The 24,502-nt window shown below is 41.3% G+C and overlaps 1 protein-coding gene across 48 annotated transcripts in view, besides 1 other annotated feature; it reads left to right on the top strand.

Moving 5' to 3' along the window:
* The window catches only part of CALD1 (caldesmon 1), a 259,231-nt gene that overhangs the window by 157,890 nt on the left and 76,839 nt on the right, over positions 1–24,502 (top strand). For 14 of the 48 annotated variants that reach the window (NR_199389.1, NR_199387.1, NR_199388.1 and 11 more), the window contains exon 1: positions 22,070–22,285. The exons of the other annotated variants lie outside the window; for them this stretch is intronic. Coding sequence is in view for 11 of the 14 variants with exons in the window: in NM_001438766.1 (NP_001425695.1) it covers positions 22,233–22,285 (53 nt within the window). In the remaining 3 variants the exon portion in view is untranslated. Of the gene's footprint in view, positions 1–22,069; positions 22,286–24,502 lie in introns of those variants that run through there. 48 annotated transcript variants of the gene reach the window in all.
* Positions 9,627–9,686: an enhancer, noted in NCBI's record as "active region_26694". NCBI's record gives its function as "activates an Ori minimal core promoter by ATAC-STARR-seq in GM12878 lymphoblastoid cells {active_cell/tissue: GM12878}" and the evidence as "EXISTENCE:reporter gene assay evidence [ECO:0000049][PMID:35858748]".

A 24,502-nucleotide genomic window follows, 5' to 3' on the forward strand; every position in this document is an offset into this window, starting at 1 on the left:
CTGGAGAAACTTATCTACAGTGGACTAGAATATGGGGATACCAGCACTGGAAGAGATAGTATGGTAATGAGGGCCTGAATCAGGTCAGTGAGTATGGAAATGAAGAAAGATCAAATATGAGAGTCTTTACAGAGGGAGAATTAGCAAACCTTTTAGGAGAGCAAAGAACTTATAGACGGTTCCAAAGAATATACATCTGAGGAGCTGGAAGGAAAGTCTCTGCTTTGTCCTAAATGGAGGATTTCCTTCTTGAATCGTCAGAGAGGAGCAGTGTTTAATTTCAGGTAGAAACCACATCCAAAAGGGGATTTCCTGCAGGCATGTGGAGATAGGAAATTTCACTCTTTGTTCAAAAAGGGAGAGAAATTATTATTAGAGTAATAAATTTGGGCAGACACAGTATGGTGGTGCTAGTACAAAAGCTGAGGGGATATTCCCAAAAAAGCAAGTGTAGAAAAAGTGAGCGGTCATCAAGGTATAATGGAAGCCATCAAAGAAGACAACGTACCAGGGAGATGGGGGAGAACCAGGGAGAGTATGAGGCCCAATGTTGAGTGGACATGGTGGACATGGAAGTCTTGCGGGCAGTGGCCGGGCTCAGTGAACCACACCTCTTATTCCTTCCAATGCTGTGTTATTTCACCTCAGGTTCTCATGATAGTCTACAAAATATCTTCATCCAACAACTATTTATTAAGCACTAACCAGGTTTAAGTGTGCCAGGATGGGAAAAATAATGGTGGTAAAGAAGTAGACATGGTTCTTGCCTTTATATACCTCACAGCATGCTAGGAAACCAAAGTGTAACAGAATCAGGAAGCAGACAGGCCAGGGTGTAGGGGCAGACCTGATAGAGTTGTGGCTAGAGAGGCTCAGGACTGAGGATGTAGACACTGGGCATCAGGCTAGATTGCCATTGTCAGCTTCTTTCCTTTCCACGTGAACAGGGGGTCAGGGAATCATTGACAGAGGTGTGACAGAACTAAAGTGCTGTGGTTAGAGCCATACTGTCATTAGAGTGAATAAACCCAGTTTCTTCAGGTTCAGGACTTTGCTTAAGAATTGACCGCACGGCTACGTGGTTCGTTCCTTTGACTTTTTTGTTTTGTGTGGAAGAATTTCTCTTCTTTTAATGTCAGATGTAAAAGGAATGTACACAGTAAGTCTTAGTTATGTACCCTGAATAACCTAAAATAAACTTACACAAATTAATCCTAACCTTGTTTAATTTATATTTCTGTCTGTATTACTTCTTTTGGGATATTATATTGTTTTCTTTTCTGTTTTTTATTTCTTCTTTCCTTCCTTTCTTTCTTGCTTCCATTCATTTCCTTCCTTCCTCTCTCTCTCTCTCTCTCGCTCTTTCTTTCTTCTTAAGAGTAGTACTTACATAATTCCTTATACTTGTACTAAGTTTACCTTTCCATGTTTCAAGGTGAGCCTTCTAGTTCTGCTATTCTGAGATTTGGTAAGCCCATGACCACCCTTCAGGATTTTGTAAAATCTGATCATTTATGGGAATAGTGAAAGTCAGGCTTCATGGTTCAGCCAGCTCTGGTGGGAAAGTGCAGGGTGTGTGCAGGAAACAGGTGGCCAGAAGCTGAAATCAAGGCCATCTAAAATCATGGTTTTGATCTGAAGACAAAGAGCACATGAGACCCTGAGCAAGTCCCTCTTCCTTTAGCTCCAGACCTTGGCTTCCTCCTCTAAAATAAGACTAGCCATTTTCTCTGGGGTATTGGTGGTCACTTTAATTTTTTTCTCGCTTTTGGTATTATTGATTTTTCTTTACTACGATCATATGTTACTTTATTTAAAGCCAAATAAAAATGAAGGCAATTTTCTGTTTTGAAAAAAAATAATTCTATGGCCCTATGCAGTATACCTGAGCCCAGATGGGAGAAGACTTAACTTCTCTTTGAATTTAGGGAACTAAAAGAAAGATTTCATCCCTGATCTGGAGGGCAGTTACCAACTACTGGAAATAGAGTGGCTCCAAGGCTCAGAGCTGCAGATTCATTTACTTACTCTCAACACATTTTTACTGGGCATCTATTCCACTACAAGCTCTATTTTGGGTACTGAGAATAGACCCACAGAGTAACAGTGTTGGGAAGTGTGTGCTTAGTGCTTTACAACCTATCTAAAATGAAAAAAAGATCAAGAAATTATACTTTTGTATCCTCAAACATAACATGTACCCCGTATGGGTTCATACTTATTAGAGATGACCCACAGCCTTTGTACACCTGACCCCTGCAGACAGTGTGGGGGATGGGGTATACTACAGAGAAGAGAAAGTCCATTGACTTTCCTTACCCATAAAAGCTTTTCAAATAAAAATACCCTGTTATTTTTATTTAATTAGTATTGAGTCTGATTGCCAGATGCAGTTTTACTTTGAAATGATAAATAATTTAAAACTTGTACTTTTACCCGGTGTTATAACCACAGATTAAAATAAAGCGAATTTTTACACATTTTATTCTTCAGAAACAGACCTTTTCAAAGACTATTTTGCAAGCTAATTGAAGGCTTTGTGCCATGCTGGCTTGCATGTGCTTAGGACTGGCATTTATTCACTGCATCCGAGCTGTCCTGAGACTCTGTCGTCCACATATCTCCTTCTAAGGGTTTTAGCCCAGTTCATTTCAAATAACCTCGACTGCAAACGTAGTGCATCAAAAACGTTCTTCCAGCTGGGCGCAGTGGCTCACGCCTGTAATCCCAGCACTCTGGGAGGCTGAGGTGGGTGGTCAGGAGTTCGAGACCACCCTGGCCAACATGGAGAAACCCCGTCTGTACTAAAAATACAAAAAGTAGCTAGGCATGGTGGTGGGTGCCTGTAATCCCAGCTACTCTGGAGGCTGAGGTAAGGAGAATCGCTTGAACCTGGGAGGCAGAGGGTGCAGTGAGCCGAGATTACGCCACTGCACCCCAGCCTAAGTGACGGAGTGAGACTCGGTCTCAAAAAAAAAAAAAAAAAAAAAAAAACTTCCTTCTTTGTCTTGCCCCTTAGCCTGTGCAACTTTTATGCCATTACCTCGTCCTTCCTTGTCTTCCATTTGGCTTTCTCACTCTGAGTTCTTGAGATAAGGTCTTTAGATTTGGCAAAAAGGAAGGAAGTACTTCATTTTGTCATAAAAAGAAATACAGATGCTGAATACCTACAAAATGCAAGATACTATACCGAACCATAGGAATCAGTGGTCACCAGTAGGGACAGTATCCCAGTAGTCACTAAGCTCCTATTCTAAGGGTATTAGTAACTTTAGAGCAATCGTGACCAAAAGAGGGAGAAAAAAAATTCAGTAGGCAGAATGGAATGAGCAGTAATCAGTGAAAATCCTTAATGCATTGTTTCTAAGCAAAAGGCACTATTTGCTCACATCTCAAATTAAACTGTATTTTAAAAGCAATTACTCATTTGAACAAACAGATAAAAATTTAGTTTTGCTGTTTATTATTCTCCACCAATCTCAGGGGAGTAAAAAGTTAAATAGATACATTCTGGCCGGATGCAATGGCTCACTCCCGTAATCCCAGCATTTTGGGAGGCCAAGGCAGGCAGATCACTTGAGGCCAGGAGTTCGAAACCAGCCTGGCCAACATGGTGAAACCCTGTCTCTACTAAAAATACAAAAAAAAATTCGCTGGGCATAGTGGCTGGTGCCTGTAATCCCAGCTACTCGGGAAGCTGAGGCAGGAGAATCACTTGAACCTGGGAGGCAGAGGTTGCAGTGAGCCACGATCATGCCACTGCACTACAAGCTGGGCGACAGAGCAAAAACAAACAAACAAACAAACAAACAAAACAAAAAAAACCCAAAAAACAAAAAAAAACACTATATTCTGCTTCCCTTTCTGTTTCTTTTATTTCAATCCCTCTCCTCTGCCTTCATCTCTGTTTTCCTTGGTGCACCTTCATGTGCCTCTTCCCCGGTCCACGTGCATCTTCATCAACACTTGATTTGTTTGTTTCTGTGTCTCTTCCCATCTGCACTCCTAATCTGTCTGCTCTGAATTATGTGTGGATGTGCTGTTGCATCACCAGGAAATACATACTTCTGGCCAGGAAAGAGGGAGAGAGAAACCCAGTTCTCTTCCTGTTCAGCAAGTATAAAAAAGTGCTAGACATTTTATGTGTGTCTAGTAAAGACGGACCGCCGCCGGCCCCAGAATTAGCTATGTCTGAATGGAACATTTTTGCTCTATATGAATGAGGCAACCCCAAGACACATAATGATGGCAGGCAGTACAGTTGGCAGTTAAGGGCATGAGCTTTAGCACTGGGCAGCTATAGTGTCAAATCCCAGCTCTGCCACTTACTAACTATGGGATCTACCAAATTATTCAATCTTTCAAATATTTTGTATCCTCCCTTACAAAATGGGGGTAGTAAAAGTATCCACCTCACTGGGTTTTTGTGGGGATGTAAAAAGGTAAGACATGAAAGTATTAACACAGTGTTATTCATCTAATAAACATTCAATAAACTCATTATTAATTATTATTATTTAATTTGATTCTCTACAACATGGAAATAAAAAAATAAAAATATGAAAGGCTTGTGGATTGTTTTGCACATCATAGATGGTACAAGAACCATAGGCAAGATGAAAGGCAGGAATGCGTGACTGACTGAAGAGCTTTGAGTGACTGTGATCGGTAACAGTTTTTGAGGAAGGACTGTGTTGTCTCAGCTGGAAGAATTAGCACCAGTTTAAGTTATTTTTAAAAATTTGGCCGAAAGAATGTTGAGCTGTGGTGTATTTTCTTTTTTTCTTTTTTTCTTTTTTTTTGTTTTCATTTTTGTTTTTTTGAGAAGGAGTCTCACTTTGTCGGCCAGGCTGGAGTGCAGTGGTACCATCTCGGCTCACTGCAATCTCTGCCTCCCAGGTTCAAGCGATTCTCCTGCCTCAGCCTCTCGAGTAGGCACACGCCACCACACCCAGCTAGTTTTTGTATTAATTAGAGAGGAGGTTTCACCATGTTGGCCAGGCTGGTCTCAAACTCCTGGCCTCAAGTGCTCCACCGGCCTCAGCCTCCCAAAGTACTGGGATTACAGGCATGAGGAGCTGTGATGTATTTTCTGAGAAACCAGCAGTGATGCTTTTATCCATGAGAAAATCTCCAGCAGACATACTTGGCCGACACCGGGCTTGGTTCCCCAACAAATGGCTCTCTCACTTTCCAAGATGTGCTCATTACGTTCACAGCATCTGCTTTCTGCACCCAACATGAGTTCCTCTCACTGATCAGAAGAAAGGCCCCTATTGTAGAGTTACGTTATCAGATTCAGAAGCTTACAGACATAAATAAAGGGAATGAAAACACTTGCTGTTGTCATCATTCATACATTTTTATGGGCTTCTGAAATGGCTTGATGATTAGACATTTGAAAGTAAATATTTTTACTACACTATAAAAAGAAGCAATTTTTTAAAATCCATGGGGTCTCTAAAGTCCCCTCTCAGAACTGTATCACTGAGACTTTTTTACATGATTTAATAGAAACAGCCAATGAATGATTATACAACACACAACCCCTCACACACGCAAACCCAACACTTATTCAAAATGCTTAGCATCAGGACCTTGACATTTTTAAATAAAATCTTTTAAAATGAAATTACTGTTATTTTATCATCAGAACATTATTTTCCATTAAGAAGTTAAATACGATATTCCTTTGAAACTATCTAAATTATCAAAGTAGCTAGATTTGCTCAAAATTTCCCTTCAGTTCTCTCAGAAAACTGATCACTCCAGGGGACAAAAGAAAGTTAGAATCTGCCATCTAGTTTTCTACTTTTATTTTTTATTTTTTGTAGAGATGTGGTCTCGCCATGTTGCGCAGTCCAGTCTCAAACTCCTGGACTCAAGCAATCCTCCCACCTGGGCCTCCCAAAGTTCTGAGGTTATAGGCGTGAGTCACCACATACTTTCAAATTAAAAGATCTGTCACTGGGCGCGGTGGCTCACGCCTGTAATCCCAACACTTTGCGAGGCTGAGCCAGGTGGATCACCTGAGGTCAGGAGTTCGAGACCAGCCTGGCCAACATGGTGAAACCCCATCTCTACTAAAAATTCAAAAAATAAGCTGGGCGTGGCAGTGGGCGCCTGCAATCCCAGCTACTCAGGAAGCTGAGACAGGAGAATTGCTTGAACCCGGGAGGTGGAGGTTGCAGTGAGCCGAGATCACGCCATTGCACTCCAGCCTGGGCAACAAGAGCGAATGCTTTGCTCACCCCTTAAACCATCTGTGAGCCCAGATTTTCGTCACCGTGGGACAGACAAGAACCCTGTCTTTAGCTGAACTAAGGAAAGTCCTGCAACAGCAATAGACTAAACAAAGACTATTGTGCCTAGTTGAACTATTTTTTATGCTTCTTCAGGTAAATTGCTTATATGTGTAGGCAAAGTCATTGTTTTGTTTGCCCTCAGAAAATCTCCTGTGTTATTCCCATTTAGCAGAAAAATAGAAACAGAGAAGATCGAGTTTCCCTGCTTAAGGCAAAGAAGGCTGTTGATATGACTATTCTTGACTTTTCACTGGACTTTTTTCAACAAGACTGTACATCATTAGGACAGGGACTTAGTCACATCATCACTCTTAAAAACTTAAGGCTGTCTCTGACCTTATGAATCATCTTCCGCAGGGGAACATTATGTATTCAGTTTTGGACCACACACTATTTTTGAGGCACTGATGAAAGCTCTGGACCCTCCTCCAAGAAAAATGCACATATGCACCCACCAAACTTGGCACTTACATTCAGTGGCATCATGAACCTCCGTCCGCAGACCTCCTGGGGGCCGATGCCTTCTGGCCAAGAATCCCTGATCTAATGAATTTTAAAACTGCCTGTTAAATATTAAGAAACTCAAGCCTAGGAGACATATCCCCTTAAGATCACCCAGTTAAGCTGTTTGCATAGTGTGGGCCCCTGGACAAACAAAGCCATCCTGATCTTGCTATATGTAAAAAAGTCTATGGCTATTGATTAGGAAAATAAAGCATATTTTGGAAAAGAGTGTATTCTACAATGTACTGCATGTAGAGTGCTTTCTAAAACTTAAAAACCGTTTATGGATAATGTTTCTAAATAAAGGAGATTCGGTCAGATTACAGTGAATAAAGTGAAAAATAAAGAAAGATGAGTGGATAGGCAGAATGATACCAGTTAATAGTCAGGAACTGGGAATCAAAGTTTGGCGTCTTTGTCAACAAGGACAAAAAAACTTTGGTGATTTACTACAATCCCATTTTCTATCAATTTTGGAAGTCTTTTATTTGGTATATGTTGTGTTAGCATGATTCCTTCAAACAAAGCTTAATTTTGAAACTAAGTTATGTAGGATTTCTCCATTCTTACCAGTTTTTAGAAAATTCATCAAATGACTTTTCTCTCTAAATATGAAAAAGATAAGAACTGATTTGATTCCTAACAGAGAAACTTATATTTTACATTTATCACTACTATCTTTGGGGAGGATGGGACAGATTTGGAGTGGGACAGGTGCCTTTCAGAGAGTAGGATCTAGAGTCATGAAGACTTAGATTCAAATCCCAGAATCCCAGCTGGATTCAAAATGGTTGTTCTACTCCGCCTCTCTCAGCCCATTTCATCAAGTGGAAAATGGCCATCGAAACAGTTCTTCCTTATAAGGTTTAATGCAGATTATAAAGCACTTAGTAGTCCCTAAAACATGACTAGTGCTCATTCTGTTACCTCTTGTTGCTGTTTTTCTGCTGGCTGAAGGACATGGTAAGAAAGGCGCTCTCAGAAAAGCCCTCTCTGGGGTCACCTCAGAAACTCAGCCTTTTGGCAGCTACCATCTGGGGTATCACTGAACAAGGTACAACTCCATGTGTCAGATGGCTCAGTGTCTAATCTTTTCTCTGTTTCAGATCTGTTTTAGCAGCTACCTTGAAAGTGATGGGAGAATTATGGATATAAATGTCTCCCTGTAAAAAGAAAATTACCTTTTTATTATTAAGAGTTCTTTTCCATTTTCCCTACTTGTTTGAAATCAAGACAAAAGCATGCAATAGTCTGGTACATATCAAGGTCTTTGTCACAATGATATATACATATGTGTATGTATGTATATAATTTAATTAATCATGTATGGTCAGCTCTCCATACCTGAGGATTCAACCAACCCAGATCAAAAATGTAGTTAGGCCTACAATGGTTGCATCTGTGCTAAACATGTACATACTTTTTTCCTTGTCATCATTTCTGAACAATACAGTATAACAACTATGTACATAGCATTTATATTCCCCTGCTGATACTGAGGGATGACTATATTTAAAATACTCTTTTTGCCTTGTGAAATTATCATTTCTCTTTTCATATTGCATAATCTATGGTTTCATTACCATTAAAGCATCAACCAGAAGCTTCTCAATGCCAACATTATATATAAATATTGTAATAATAACATAAGGAAAATCATATGCCTAATTGTTACAAAATGATTTTGAAAAAATGTATCCCAAATTACTAATTTATTCATTTTAATTATGAAAAAACTGATGCATACAAAGTAATCCTATGTAATATATATGGAAGTTCTAACTCATCCTAATGCGTATCCTATAAACTCACCATACAGCCTAAGACCTAGAACATTTCCAATGCCCCAGGCCCCTCTCCAATCCCTTCCCTTCACCTCCCCACCCACAGAGGTAACCAGTGTCCTGAATAATTCATTTATTTTAAAATAAAATTTGAAATGAGATCATACGAATTTAGGTACTAGCTTCTCCAGGGCCCTGGGATCCAGGCATTCCAAAGATTCTCTCCAGACTCTCAGGTAAAGGTGTCAGTGAGAGCCCACTTCCCTGAGAGGGCAAGAAGTTTGTCTTTCTAAACACACAGGACAGGCTGGGCATGGTGGCTCCTGCGTGTAATGTCAGCACTTTGGGAGGCTGAGGCGGGCAAATCACTTGAAGTCAGGAGTTTTAGACTAGCTTGGCCAACATGGTGAAACCTCTTCTCTACTAAAAATACAAAAATTAGCCGGGCATAGTAGTGGGCGCCTGTAATTCCAGCTACTGGAGAGGCTGAGGCAGGAGAATCACTTGAAACCAGGAGGCAGAGGTTGCAGTGAGCCGAGATCGCACCACTGCATTCCAGCCTGGGTGATAGAGCGAGACCCTGCCTCAAGAAAAAATAAAAATAAACACACAAGATAAACGTTCTTATGCTGTCTAAAGCTGCAAGAAGTATACAGTGTGAACAAAGAATTCTCATCAAAATAAAATAAAAATACAGACCAGGTGCAGTGGCTCACTCCTTTGGGATCCCAACACTTTGGGAGGCTGAGGTGGGAGAATCACTTGAGCCCAGAAGTTTGAGACCAGCCTGAGCAACATAGGAAGACCTCATCTCTACAAATAATAATAATAAAAAAAATAGCTGGATGTGGTAGTGTGTGCCTGTAGTACCAGCTACTCTGGAGGCTGAGGTGGGAGGATTACTTGAGCCTGGGAGTTCAAGGCTGCAGTCAGCTGTGAGCCATGATTGCACTACTGCACTCCAGCCTGGACAACAGAGGGAGACCTTGTCTCAAAAAAAAAAAGATGTAATGAAAGCTATCCAATACTTATATTGAACCTCTCTCTTTTGCCCTATGGTTTTCTCATTGGCCAGCAGGAGTGACAGATCTGCATTTGCAGCTGTCATTTGGTCAGGTGGAACTGGCAGACAGAAATGATGACTTCAGTTGCTTTCAAGTCTTCCAAGGAAGTTCTTGACCTTTATTATCCCAAAGGTCCCTAAATGGTGCTGCAAGAAAGTACCACAGGGCATGAAACATGAGCATGTTGGACCAATGTGGTGGCTGTGTAAGTGGGCTGTGTAAGTGGATTCTCATTCATCTGTGAATCAGGTTAAAGAGGAATCATGTGCATATTTTGTGAATAAAATCAGTTCTTTCCACTAGTTTGCTATCTAATGAGCACTATTCATCAGCAGTGGAAAATCAGTTTTTAGCCTATCCTAAACCTGCATTAACGCAGACTGTTTTTGAATTTTTAATCATTTATTCAGGAACATTAGTAAAGTACAACTTTGAATTATTTATAAATAAAGTCTTTGGTTAACATGTTAAATATGTAAGCTACATTCCATGGCTTAGTTTTTAAGTACTGGAGAGTACAACTTTTTTTTAAACCTTTTAAATAACTTTAAAAACATTCACTGACATTGAACAGCTTAATTTGTTAATTATAAATCATTTGTATGTATTCACCATTTGAATAAGCTTCTAATGTTTTGCCAGCATGATGGAAGTTACCAGGTAGGTAGACTTAAACATTTTTCAAAATTAAATTTCTTTTAAGGTATTTTATAATTTTTACTGGGCTTACTTCTAGTTGATCTATTTTAGTGAGACCTGACATTGCATTTGAGATGTGTACCAATGACTAGGTTAGAATGTGAGGGCTTATTTTCCATTTTAATAACTCCCTACATCACATACAGTTCCTTTGTTGGGATAAAAATCTCAGTAAAGTACACATCGGTCACTATAAATAGCAGCTACAAGCCTGTACATTCAGGAGAGTCTCCAGAGTGTATTTTAAACCCCACATTGTTTAGAATAGGAAATTCTTCCAATGTTCATATTTTCCATTGTGGGTGACATGGACTACTATCCCATGTCACATCTTCACTGGCTTCTGTTTTCCTGTACCATTTAGGAACTCAACTGACGGTTTCCAGCAGATTGTTCAATATGTGCTTTTTATTTTTCTAAGGGTAGCCTGGGTCTTTTTGTCCAGTGGGAATTTTGCATGCTTCATGGGGCTCTCCAAATAAAAGCTAGATAACTCAGAGCCGGCACCAGCACTAGGTAATGAAAGAGTCCTTTATTTCTGGAGCTAGTAGCACTACTGTGCCCGCTTAGAATAACAGCAGTCAACCCATTTTTTATTCCCACAGAAAACTTTACACTGTTGGAAGGTTTTCTGGAGGTGGGGGGAGACTCAAGAGACTAATATGAAAAATAACTGAGCAAGAAGTGAGCAAATAAACAAGCAGGATGAGATGATGGGTTATCAGGCTGATTCAAAGACAAGAAGCATCATCAGGTCTAATCACACTGCATCTTTCCCAAGGCACAATTGGCAGCTACAGTACATGTATATCTCTGCCCACTTCTTCCTTGAACAATTCTTCTGTTTCTCTCATCAAAACTGTTGTGTAGATCTTGATCTTTTTTTAGTGGAGTTTCATTTGGGGGATCTAACATTCCCTCACTATTTGTCCTTTGATGAAGAAGATGAGAAAGGACCTATTATTAAGGGGCCTCGCGCAAAAGTTGTGATGTAGAAAGAACTGATATCTGACACCTGTCTTTCCTGCTACTACCTTTTAAGATCCTTTAACTCTTCCTATCTAAGCAGGAGAGTGTATTTTCCCTGAGCCAGCATCTTCATAGCATATCCTGGCTACCTAGGGATTATCATTGCTACAGATGCTCAGCGGCTTTTGAACTGAACAGAATGAAGTTTTTTTTAAACTCTAGGTTGAGGCTGGAGAGAAATTCCCAAATCCTTTAGTCCCTAAGTGCCTCATGTCATATAAATGATGTCTCATTGTGGCATTGTCAGAGCTATGGTAGAGCTGAAATCAGAGACATATGCGCTTCAGAAAGGTGTCAGTTTTCCATGAGAACTCTGCCTGAAGTGCAGAATTACTTCTAGAAGACAGATTCTGGTGTCCAGTTGGGTTATGTCATCAGAAATTAACATACACTCTCTTTCCTACGTTCTCTGAAAGGGGGTTGGAAGCCCAAATCATTGGACCCAGGCTTGTAGAGCAACATGTCCAAGAGCACACAGTCAGTGGCAGGGTCAAATCTGGAAACCTTGTCATTTTCTCCAACTCTGGCACTTTTTTTCTTTGCATCGTGTGAGGCCCCACTCTCAATTTATTATCACATTAGAGCTAAATGTCCTCTAACTCCTGCTGAAGAGACTGGCTTTTAAATCAAGGATAAAAGAAAAGACACTGGATAAAAGTTCAGCAGATCAGGGCTTCCTTATCTATAAGAGAGAACTAACACTTCTCAGGGTGGCTGAGAAAATTAAGCAAGATACAGAAAAAATGTCATCGAAAGTATAAAGGGTAATGCGCATGACGTACGTTTATCATGTTGAAGTGCCTGGGTGATTACACTGGATTCACTTCTATATTAACTATATGTAGAGTTGCAGGTTTCATGCTGGTCATGTGCTGTGTTTCAAAGGAATTTTCACACTTCTAACCCTGCTGCCTTATGCTAGCTGACTGGCTGTCAGGTATTCTAGTCTTTCAGAAATCAGATGCTGAGAAAACACAATGAAATAAAATGTCACCTGTCACCCTCCCTAGAGCCCGTCACCTCTGGAGAGGGCTTAGGACCTCAATTGCAGATTAGAAGAACCAAAGCCATTTTATTTTCCCTTTTCCTCTAGTTGTGAATTGAGGAGAAAATGCAGACGATTTAAAATCCTGGCTTTATCCCAATCAGAAGGAAACTGTGCTGTGCTTACGAGGAGAACCCTACTCCCACCTTGGGTCTTACGTCGCACTTTTTACATATGTTAATTATTATCCTCTATTTTATGTTTATTTGTTCTCGTATCTGTTTTCTCCACCAAATTGAAAGCAACCGTAGATCAGAAACTACATCTTACTCACTTTTATTTCCCCAAGACCAGCATACAATGTTGAATGAACACTAACACTTGTGTATCAAGGCACAACTGTGACAAATGTGCTAAGCTACTTGTGAGGGAGGCAGAAATGTTAGTGACACTCGTTGTGTCTTCTAAACACTGACACCATCAATGCCTCTCCTGGGGTTTCATCACTTCTCTGCTGAGCCTTCAAGCCATTGCAATTTCAACTCCATATCTTTTCTCCAGAGAAATGAAGAGATTTATCTCATGTATTTTTTTGATTATTAAGGATAATTGGACCTTTACAACATAGAATTTTGACCACTTATGCTTATTTAGTTGCATTGTGGAGGCAAATGATATTAATATGGTAAGAGTCCATTTCCTTTTGTTGGCCTATTTACTCCGGTACTCAAGCCCTTGGTATATTTGCAATTAGTATCTGCATTATAAATCAGATAATCATCAAATTACAGGGTTTATGCCAAACGTACAGGAGTCCAACAGTGAACAAACTGTATAATCAAAAATTTCTCTAATGAAGGATCAAGCTTGTGGTCAGGAGGAGTAAAGTATCCAGTTAATCCCAGAAGAATGGGCAGAAGTAGGATAAGGGTAGGGCCAATCTCTGGCATGTATTTATCAACATTCTTTCTGATAATAGAATGTTTAGCATACAATAGAATGGAGTGTTTAACATACAAGTTGAGTTCAAAGTTTAGATTTCAAATGGTAAATGGTTTTCCAATATTGGGATGTAATGATGGACCAAAAAAGAAAAAGAAGAAAGTAATACATTAGAGCCCAATACTTTTTAATCAAGATATGAGGACTTAATTATTTTTTTCCAGTAAAGTCGAGCATTTTTATAAATGGTTTATGCTCCTTGAGTGGTACTATTTGGAAGAAGGAGGAGGAGTATTTATAAATGGATTTTCTTCATCATAAAATATACCCTTTGGTTAATTTGTTAACATAAAATTTGTAATTAAAATAAAGTTAGTGAACTGGAACACTCAAAGTACGTAAACCCAGAAGCACAATCGAATAGCCTCAGAACTGTATTTCTTAGGTAAGAAATTTTAATTTTTGATTCTTAGATCTACTGGGAAAGAGTCAGAAGGAAAGGTAATTTGAAGTTATCCTAGAAAGACTCTGAATTCTAAAATACTTAGGAGAATCTCAGATTACTTCAGCCCTCTCTACTTTGCAACATATTTTAGAAAGCTGGATTCATATTTCACATCATTGGCTTTCAAATTTGAAGTGACTGTCGGCTATTTTTTTTAAGTATCATCTATTTTATCTTTTGTTGTTGTTGTCTTCATAATGTGTTAACATTAAAAAGCTTTCCAGATGGCTTCTGGCTTTTAAATGAGAAAATTGGATATTTTTACTAAATATTTTCCCTTAAAAACCTGCCAGGCTGGTGGTTATTCTATAAATTAGTGAGATTAAAAAAAAGGCCCCATTTGCTTTTCCTGTTTTAATCTTAATAAGAGCTTGATTTCACTACTCAATAATGTCAAAGTAAAATAGCATCTTAAAATGGAAAAGCTTTCTTCTCCTACTCTATTTCTAATCTCCTGCCTTAGGCTACCATCATAAAGATACCTAAGATTCTACAGAAGAGCATTTCTGATAAATACAATTCATAAGGGTCAAACTGCATTAGGTCTCCCAGATTTGAACAAGTGGAGTCCAACTGTAATCCACGATATTAGTGAGTGTAAAGAAAGAATGGCCAGTAGAAGCTGGCCGCGGTGGCTCACGCCTGTAATCCCAGCACTTTGGGAGGCCGAGGCGGGTGGATCACCTGAGGTCAGGAGTTTGAGACCAGCCTGACCAACACGGTGAGGTCTCTAATAAAAATACAAAATTAGCCGGGCATGGTGGCACATGCCTGTAATCCCAGCTACCTGGGAGGCTGAGGCAGGAGAATTGCTTGAACCTAGGAAGCGGAGGTTGCAGTGAGCCAAGATCACACCATTGCACTCCAGCCTGGGCAACAAGAGTGAAACTCTGTCTCAAAAAAGAAAAAAAAAAAGGAATGGCCAGTAGAAGAAGCCTGCATGTCTGCCAAGTTCAAGACCTGGTTTGGCCCTGGGGATCTAGGAATATCCAAATGAGACAGACCTTGAATCTCAGGGTTGGTTGAGTTTCAGGGTGGTGACATGAGATTTATGGCTTGAATCTCACAGAGTTGTGACATGAAAAGTATTCTCTCCACTTGGAGAAGTGTTTCCTCATGTCTCCCACTGGCTTGGGTAAAATATTACCTGTGATGATTTCACCCCGCTTTGCTCTGACTTCACACTCATGAAGAAGTCGCTATTGACTACGCAGCTTCCTAACATCCTGGCTTGGGGAATGGGAGGTGCCCTGGTTGGGAATGAGAGTTCTCCAGGCACTGAAGATGGAGAGCATTTATTCTATCTTAATTGGCACTAGAGAAGGCATCAGTCTCTTGTGCATCTGTGAGTTCATCAATCTTCCTGATACCTGTCGATTCTGGACCTCCCAAGATCCAATTTCTGGTGCAGAACTGTTATGAATACTCCAAAAAAAAAAAAAGGCCAATCTTTAGAAACCTTTGGAAAAACAAGCCAACTGACCTTGGTGCAGCGTCTCTACTCCATCGTTGTCCCTCTTCACTCCAGAGAAAAAATGACAAGTACTTATTGGCCATCTGCTATATAACTAACACCCTCCTAGGCTGTATCAGGTGCAAAAGTGGTGGTAGGAAATACCCCTTCCAGCAAAAATGTTACACTGTAACTTATTTGGTAAAAACAAGTATATACACAGGAACAATGAACAAATAAGACTGTGTATTTGTATTTATCCATATTTTCTTTCTTTCTTTTATTTATTTATTTTTTTGAGACAGAGTCTCATTCTGTCACCCAGGCTAGAGTACACTGGTGTGATCTCGGCTCACTGCAGCCTCCACCTCCCAGGTTCAAGCGATTCTCATGCCTCAGCCTCTGGAGGGGTTACAGGCGCACACCACCATGCCAGGCTAACTTTTGTACTTTTAACAGAGACGGGGTTTCACTATGTTGGCCAGTCTGGTCTGTAACTCCTGACCTCAGGTGATCCTCCTGCCTCTGCCTCCCAAAGTGCTGGGATTACAGGTGTGAGCCCCGACACCCGGCACCATACGTTTATTTCTATCTGTAGATCATAATCAAGTGCTGATCCCAGTCAGAGGTTATTACAAAATATAACAGAACCTAATAAAGTGTTATTATATAATGTAAATAATAAGCACAACACCTAAAGTATCTGAAACACATAATGGATTATTTCTCTAGCAATAGGAGCAATATGCTTTCATCCAGGTCTGACCACCCCCCAAAAAGAAGGAAATCAATATTTTTTAAGACTTTATATGGTATCACTGGAAAAAAATCTGGATTTCATTCCAGCTATAAAAGCCATGTGTAAATTTAATATCCAGATGCAAAAGGTGGACACCCACAAATAAATTTATGATTGTGGAAATATTTAGACACTTTGAACAAGAGTGGTACACACTGAGAATTCTGTGGCTTAGGAACTAATATGCTTCCTTTGAAGATTTGACCTTTTCTTCTGCACTAGAATTATCTCCTGAGTCCTTATAATAATTTCCTTCACAACCTGTACCTATGAACAACAAATCTACATTCTAAAATATATCACTATGGCCTAGATTCAGTTTCTTATGGGTAGAAATCACATTCTTCATGTACACACTTCTTTCCTAGAATTATATAAAGCAGGTATTATTATTATCGTTTTCACCGAGACCAGAACCAGAATTTTGTAGATGTGCACCAGCCACCATTCATTCAAGAAATTGTTAGAGCCCTGCTATTTCCAAGCACCGTTTATTGTTTTAAAGATATGTTTCAAGTTGGAGGGCAGAAAGGAGTTAGAGGCATGATCCTTTTCAGATAGAAACTTTTCAGGAAAAGAAAATAGTCCAGTTGTTTAAAAAACCCTGGATTTTAAAAAGAGCTTAGAGAGTCGGCCTAAGTAATTGGTGCAAGACAGTTTAAACAGAAACAGGGAGTCTCACAGCAAGTTGGCTGGAGGAGCTGACTCATACATTGCAACATAATTATTTCCCAAATAACATGCAAACAAGAGTGGGCTCAAGCTTTCTGGTCTCTCTCTCCCTAACAAGATAAATTAGAAAGAAATAAAGTCAAATCCAGGAAGACTTCATAGAGGTAAGGCCTGGAACTGGTTCTTAAAGAACCACTAGAATTCAGAGAAGCAAAAGGAGTAAGAGTGGGCATAGGACTTACAAAGCAATTCATTTGGAGAAGAAAAAAGAAAAAGCAAAAACCCTGGATATAGCACAAAACTGAATGAATGATCTCTCTAAGAGATGCTATTATCAATGTGAAAATGATGTTAGGATGTGTTAACAGGAACGTGGCAGGAAGCACTGGGACTTCAGCCAGGCCTTGGTCAGCTTTTATTATGTCCAATTTTGGTTTCCCGTTTGAAGAGTTGTTATAGTCAGGCTGATATTAAAAGGATGGAAAATAGGCATTGGCGTCTAGCCTAGAAAAGACGAGACTAAAGGATGACTTAATACCTGTGGCCCTCCTAGAGATAAGTAGGTTTCTATTTCAGCAACAGGAAATCTAGTTCGATAACAGGATAAATTGAGCGTGAGAGTGATTAAACACTGGGACCTTGATCACAGGATGTCACCTACTGAAGTATAGTTCTTTAGCTCTACTGCTTTCAGAGTACTGTTCACTTTCTGTCTTATAATAGAATTTTTGTATACATGTCTTATCTCCCTTTAGGACTGCCCTTCTTATCTTTGCATCCCCCACAGCACTTAGTGCAATGACTTGCTTGTAGTAAACATTCCAATAGTGCTACGCGAAGCAAAGCAAAAAGGAATGTGCTGGGACAAAATAAAACTACATGCTCACCATTATAAGGGCAATAAGACAGTGTCACAACCCAAGCCCCTATTACAGGCCTAGAGACAGATGAGGCAAAGAATAATTAAGAAACGTGTATCAGCACAGGCCATGAAGACGCTGGTGAAGAACCACTGGAAGACTAGGATGAGGAGTAAACTGTGATTTTTCCACAGCAGCTCCTGCATTCAAGATCACAGGACATGACAGAGCAATATAGTTTAAGTGAACACGTTCAACGCCATGGCAGGGGCAGGGGATGGGAGATGCCGTCGTCTATGAGGGGAAAACTATGAGAGGCCAACAGAAAGGAGGAAAGAGATGCTGCCTTTGAATATGTAAACTCCTTTACCTACATTCCTGTTCACCTTGGGGTGGGGGAACAGCTGTCTAGGCAAGATTTTTTGCCTAGTTCTAAGAGTACAGAGCCTATGAATTTCTTCATAAGAAAATTTATCTCCAACAGCCTTTTCAAACGTCCCCTTTGTACTACTCGAACTGTTGCCTCCCTAGTGGTAGATTTCCCTTAGGTTTATGTGTTTCCATAGTAAGTGAATGGCTCTGTGCATGTTATGTGTGTGCATGTGTGCGTATGCATGCATGCGTGTATATGTGTGTGCCTGTGTGTACATGCATGTCTGTATGTGTGTGCATGTGTGCGTATGCATGCATGTGTGTGTATGTGTATGTGCATGTGTGCATATGCATGCATGCGTATATGTGTTTGCCTGTGTGTGCATGTGTGTCTCTATGTGCCTGCGTGTGTATGTGTGTGCATGTGTATGTGTGCGCATGTGTATGTGTGTGCATGTGTGCATATGCATGCATTCGTGTATGTGTGTGTGCCTGTGTGTGCATGTGTGTCTGTATGTGTGTGTATGTGTGTGCATGTGTGTCATAAGCGCATTAGGGCATATGCACAGCACTTCCCACATACCTCTCTTCCCTAGGGAATTGTTTCAAGGTAGAAGCTGTTCTTAAACAACTGCTGCAGACTCTAAAGTCTGGAACAGATCTTGTGGTCCGGTCTCCCACCTCCATGAAGTAAAGTTATTTTTAAAAAATCATATTTTCTTAATAAAGGACCACCCTGTGGTGGGAGCTGTTCCTTTCTATTACAGTCTGACCTCCCTCAAACCTTCCCAGCCCAGAATCTCTTTGATGAAAAATTAAACAATAAAGTGTCCAGAAACAAAGGATACTATGAGTAATCTCAGAATGGCCCAGACTTTCATTTTTCCTAGTAAGAGTCCTGAAGCATCATCAAATTCATGATACCTATTATCTTGCTGAAGGATGACTGGCCCACTTGTTCATGGTGCCAATGAATAGTCATTAGTTCACTTCTCAGAGACACCAGTTCTGGCAGCTGGACACTGGGTACCATTCTCTGCTATGCAGTGAAAGCACACAGGCCTGTAGGTCTCTGCAGGACCAGAACACTGTGCACAAATAACCTTTAGATTGTTATTTCTCAATCCTCTTACCTTGCCTCTCCAGCCCCAGGCACCAGGTCTCAGAGGACTCTTGGAAGCACTTGCCTAGCCCAGCCCTGCTCTCAGCTCATGATTCACTTGTTATCTCTATGCGTCTTCCCGCGTTGCCTGTCTTTCATTGGCCTTTGTGTTCTTCCTCTTCCCAGAGAGTGTCTGAACCAGGTCCAAGACTCACTTCTCTCTTCACTCTTCCCATGTCAGTACCCTACCAGGTAGCATGAGCTATAACACCACTGGGTTTTACTATCACAAACTGAAGACAGACAGCTGCTTCCCAAATGCATGCCCCTAATAACAAAGGAGGGTGCGCGCTGTTTCCCTTTCCCTCTTTTGGCAATTAGGGAAATAGCCTGGTGGACATCCTGTGTACAGCTGGCAATTAGCACACTTTCTGTACATGGATTCTGCACATGAGTGGAAGACTACTAAATTCTTGCTCTCCTCCATGGAGAATACTGGCCAGAAAGAACCACAATTTTTTTTTCTAGGTTTTTCCATTTTATGAACCTATTCTGAATATGCCAAAACCATACCTGTCACCTCAGAATTGGCGTGGGGGGCTGGGGAGGAGGGAATCAGGAGGTGATAGCTTTCTCGCATGGCTGCGACAAATAACTAGAAACTTGGTGGCTTTAAACGACACAACTTATTCTGTACAGTTCTATAGGTTAGATGTCTGGCACAGGTCTCACTGGGCTAACATCAAGGTGTCAGCAGGGCTGTATTCCTTCCTGGAGGCTCCAGGGGAGAATCCATTTCCTTGCCTTTTCCAGCTTCTAGAGGAAGTCACATTCCCAGGCTCTTGGACCCCCTCTCCATCTTCAAAGCCATCACCAGTCTGTCTGCCCACCCTGACAGATAAGCTCCTCTAACCACAGCTGGAAAGGGGTCTCTGATTTTAAAGAGCCATGTGATTCATTCCAGCACACCTGGATAATCCAGGATGCTCTCCCCATCTCTATGCCTTTAATTTCATCATATCGACAAGGTCCCTTTTGCCACGCAAATTAACATGTTCTCAGGTTCTGGAGATTTGCGGGAAACGTTATTCCACCTACCATAGAAAACCACCGACTTTTGTAAGTAATTGAAGGGAAAAAATTAATTGGGCAAAATTCGGTAGAAAGAGAAGCAGCAGAATGCCTCGATACATGTTTCTGTCTCAGTTCTAGAGCGAGAAACTCAGGACAAGTCAGTGTATATTTAAGTCCTCTTGTGTGAAGGCAGATGTATCTCTACTTTTATGGGTGTCTTATGTGCTACTTTCATCAATATATGTTCGGTGATCATATGTGTAATCAGAGATATTTAAATGCATATATACATAATGATATATAGAGATAATTAACTTTAAGTTTATTAAACTGTATTTACTCTATAAACTATGACTTCATTTTTTGTTTTGTTTTGTTTTTTGTTTTTTGAGATGGAGTCTCACTCTGTCGCTCAGGTTGGAGTGCAGTGGCGCCATCTCAGCTCACTGCAACCTCCGCCTCCTGGGTTCAAGCAATTCTCCTGCCGCAGCCTCCCAAGTAGCTGGGACTACAGGCACCTGCCACCAAGCCCGGGTAATTTTTGTATTTTTAGTAGAGACGGGGTTTCACCATGTTGGCCAGGCTGGTCTCAAACTCCTGACCTTGATCCACCTGCCTCAGCCTCCCCGAGTGCTGGGATTACAGGCATGAGCCACCTCGCCTGGCCTATAAACTACGACTCTGATGACCGCATAGTATTTAAGCAAGAAAACAACCAAAATGTTCTAGCTAAAGTGGAGACCACTTAACCTAACCCAATTAAACTTTAAGTTGAACACAAGAGTAGTAGATGCAGTTCAGCTCCATGACATTGGGTGAGTTGTCTAAATGCTCTGTGCTTTGGTGTCCTTGTCTGCGTGTGACATGAAGCCGCAGATCTCAAAGATCTCTTTCATTCCGTGAAAGCGCTCTCAATGTGTGAAGTTGACTGCTTCTCCTGCTGTTTACCAAGAGAATAATCTTAACTCTACATTGTGGAGATCGGATTTGTTCTCACTTGACAGAAAGCCAGTCCCACGAGCAGCTTGGTACCCAAATACCAGTCTGTTTAGTGCTCATTAGAGATGAAGAACCATATTCATAAGTCAAGCTGAGACGGAGTGTCATCTCCAGACAGAATCAACACCACCCCCTCCTCAGGAACTGGGATTTGGCTGCTTTCCAAGCCGCTGCTGACCAGGTTCCATTGCCCAGCTTGGCTGATGAGATCACTGGCAGAGTACCATGGGTGCAGACGGGGCCTGCTGTTTCAACATGTTCTCAGGAGGGCTCTTGCCCACATTTCTTGGAGAGGTGTGAGCACCAAACATGCTGAACCATCCAGCCCATCACTGAGCAGGGCCATCTCTCTTCATCCCTTTTCATTTGGTTTGCATTTTTATGTCATGCTCCTTCCCTGGATAAAAGGGATAAGAGGAGTTTCTCAGATTTGATTTCTCAGTGGGAACTGTTTGCTTTGGAAGCCACCTACACCAATGCTAATTGAGAACAGAGCTCAGAATGGGAGCCTGAGAACTGCACCCGGATGAACTTTTTGGTGGGCTGATTTCTGTTGATCTTGTCAGAATTAGGTTGTATATGCATGTAATACCATGATCAACTATTTTCCAAAAGGCTGAGCAAATGCATCAGTGTCTTTTTCCTTTGACCAGTTACTTACCTTGGAAAAATTATTTGTAGTTAAGCATATAAAGTCTTCATCAGGAAAACTACTGGAGATCCTGGCCCTGACTACCCAGCAATAACATTTCTGGAACTCCCGAAGCAATCAGTGCTCTCTGATCGCTAAACATGATGGGCTTCTATTAGAGAGATTACAGTAAAAAATAACAATCAGCTCTCTGATGATCCTGTGAGGAGGGAACGGGTTGGGAGGAGTAGATTTGGCTGAGGACAAGCCCAGACTTTCGTCACAGGGACAGACCAACGTGTTAACACAAAGGGAGAACACGGGAGCATCCTGCACCGTGCATTTCAGCCACAGATCACATGGCCCCTCCGCGGGCCCAGCCCACGCCCTGACCGCCCGGCCTGGCCAGGTCTCCGTATCTCTCTGCCCCGCCGCCCCTTCCCAACTGCGGACATGCTGGGTGGATCCGGATCGCATGGAAGACGCAGCCTGGCCGCGCTCTCCCAGTGAGTCCTCATTTCGTCTCTTTGGTTTTTTCCTTTCTTTTTTTTTTTTATAAAAAACAAACGAATTGTTGTAAAAAAAAAAAAAAAAAAAAAAATGTGGGAGTGGGAGGGGAGAGGAGGAGACACCAGGCAGGAAAGGAATGCAGTGAGTGTGTGAGTTTCAGACCTGTCTGAAACTTTCTGGTTTCCACTTCATGGTTGCTCTGATTCGCTGGCTTTTCTCGTTTCCATTTTAATGGTGGTTTGTGGACCATTTGCCAGGAGTTTATACCTAGGCACGGGTTTCTCCGTTTCAAATACCAATCCATAAAGCATTGTGTTTCTAAAGGTCTGCTGTTAATTTAGACCTTAGCCCTCCGTTCAGAATGATCCATTTGCAGGGCTCAGAGATTTTGGCTAAAGCACACATTGCCCAATCCTTAGAGTAAACAGCCAAAGCCCTCAATATACTGACCATCTGACTAAGACAGAACAAGACCCAGAGCATATGCTATTGATCAGGGAATTGTTCAGATAACGGACTCCAAGGGTTTAGGATCATGAAATCCTGGAATGTTAAAGCCAGAAGGGAGGCCTTTAGACTCTTTGGTGCAATGCTGTCTTTCAATAGGCAGGGAAACAGAAACCAGAGGGGCAACTCAACTTACCCCAAAGCAGACAACAGTCGGTAGCAAAGCCATGTCTTTGTACTCTCATGCAAAGGGCCGTTTTCACACTGGTGTTTATGAGGTTTGAAAAACTTACTGGGTCTTGGGAAAAGGTACCGCACAAGAATTAGAACACCAAATGGCCTTTCAGTAAATCTTTTCCATTTTTGAGAGTTTTGGCACCGATTCAGCATGACAATTGTTGTTCCAGTTGTTCCAGCGTTTGTGCAACAGTTAATCAAATAAACAGAGAAACTCATCAGGGTCCTAAAAACAAGACCCATGTCCATTACATTAGCAGATCTCTTGGAGAGCTAGTTTCCGTAAGTGTGGTTGGTTATTCACGTGGGAGAGCTCAAAGGGACTTTAGACGTTATCTGTATAGTCCAGTGCTTATCAAACTTTTTAAAAAATCAAATTTAATCTTAAGGGGAACGCTATTGTATAAAGGAGATGTTCTGGTTAAAGAAAAGGTTTGGGATCTAGAGCTCCTCATCCTCGCTCTACTCTGCAGTCATAGCCCACTGCACAATTCTACCCCTCTCCTCATCCCTCTTCTACCCCACCTCCCCACCCTCTTCATCAAAACTTCCTTGGAATCCTAGGTCTCCATGGAATAGTTCAGAAACCACTGATCTCATTGAAAGCCTTCATTTCAGATGAGGAAACTGAGGCACAGGAAGGGCTTGCCCAGGGTCACACAGCTGATCAGCAATAGAGCGTGGGATGCTAGGAAAAGAGCCCAGTCTGGCTGGCTGTCTCTCTCTCAACTCATGGTCCTGAGGCTTGTTTCCACTCCTTCATGCCTATGATTCTATCAGTCTCCTTTCTCTGTGTCTCTCTTCTCTGTTTACTCTGCCATTTCCTGGATTTCAACAGCTATTACCTCTCACCGGGATGGTTGTCATTGCCTGCCATCTGGTCCTCGGCCTCTGTCTCTCTCCCCTTTCTGATCCAGCCCCCTACAGCCCCCACCTATGAAGATAAAGTCCATTCTCCTTACTACAGCATTCAAATTTCTCCACAACATGCCTTCACTATTTCTTCCCATTCTGACTTCCGCCAGGGAGAATGTTAAAAACATTGTGGGGAAATAAATAAATGATGGGCATAATTTTACCAGATTCTGCAGAAATGACAAAAGAAATGCACACAGGGATGTCGAGATTTGTAAAAACTATAGGAGTACCTGATCCGGTGAAATAAGATCACTCACAGCTCCCCAAACTCAGCATATACAAGCCACCACTGTTTCTTGACTCATTCTATTCCCTACACAGGGAATACCCTCACCCTCCTGTTTCTGACCTCCTTTCTGTTCTGCAAGGCCCTGATCAAATGCTCCCTTCCTCTGTAAACCTTCCTCATTCCTCACTTCTCTCACTCTAATAACCTTTGCCCATCCTTCTATTACTAGCTTTGTACCGTCAATCGAGGAAAATGACGAGGCAAGTCTCAATCATTTTAGGAGGTTTACTTGCCAAAGTTAAGGATGTGCCTGGGAGATAGGTCTATGCCTTTATCTGAAGATGATTTTGAGGGCTCCAGATTTAAAGGGGAAAGGGTGGGG

Source organism: Homo sapiens, chromosome 7 (genome assembly GCF_000001405.40).
Source record: "Homo sapiens chromosome 7, GRCh38.p14 Primary Assembly".
Taxonomy (NCBI): domain Eukaryota; kingdom Metazoa; phylum Chordata; class Mammalia; order Primates; family Hominidae; genus Homo; species Homo sapiens.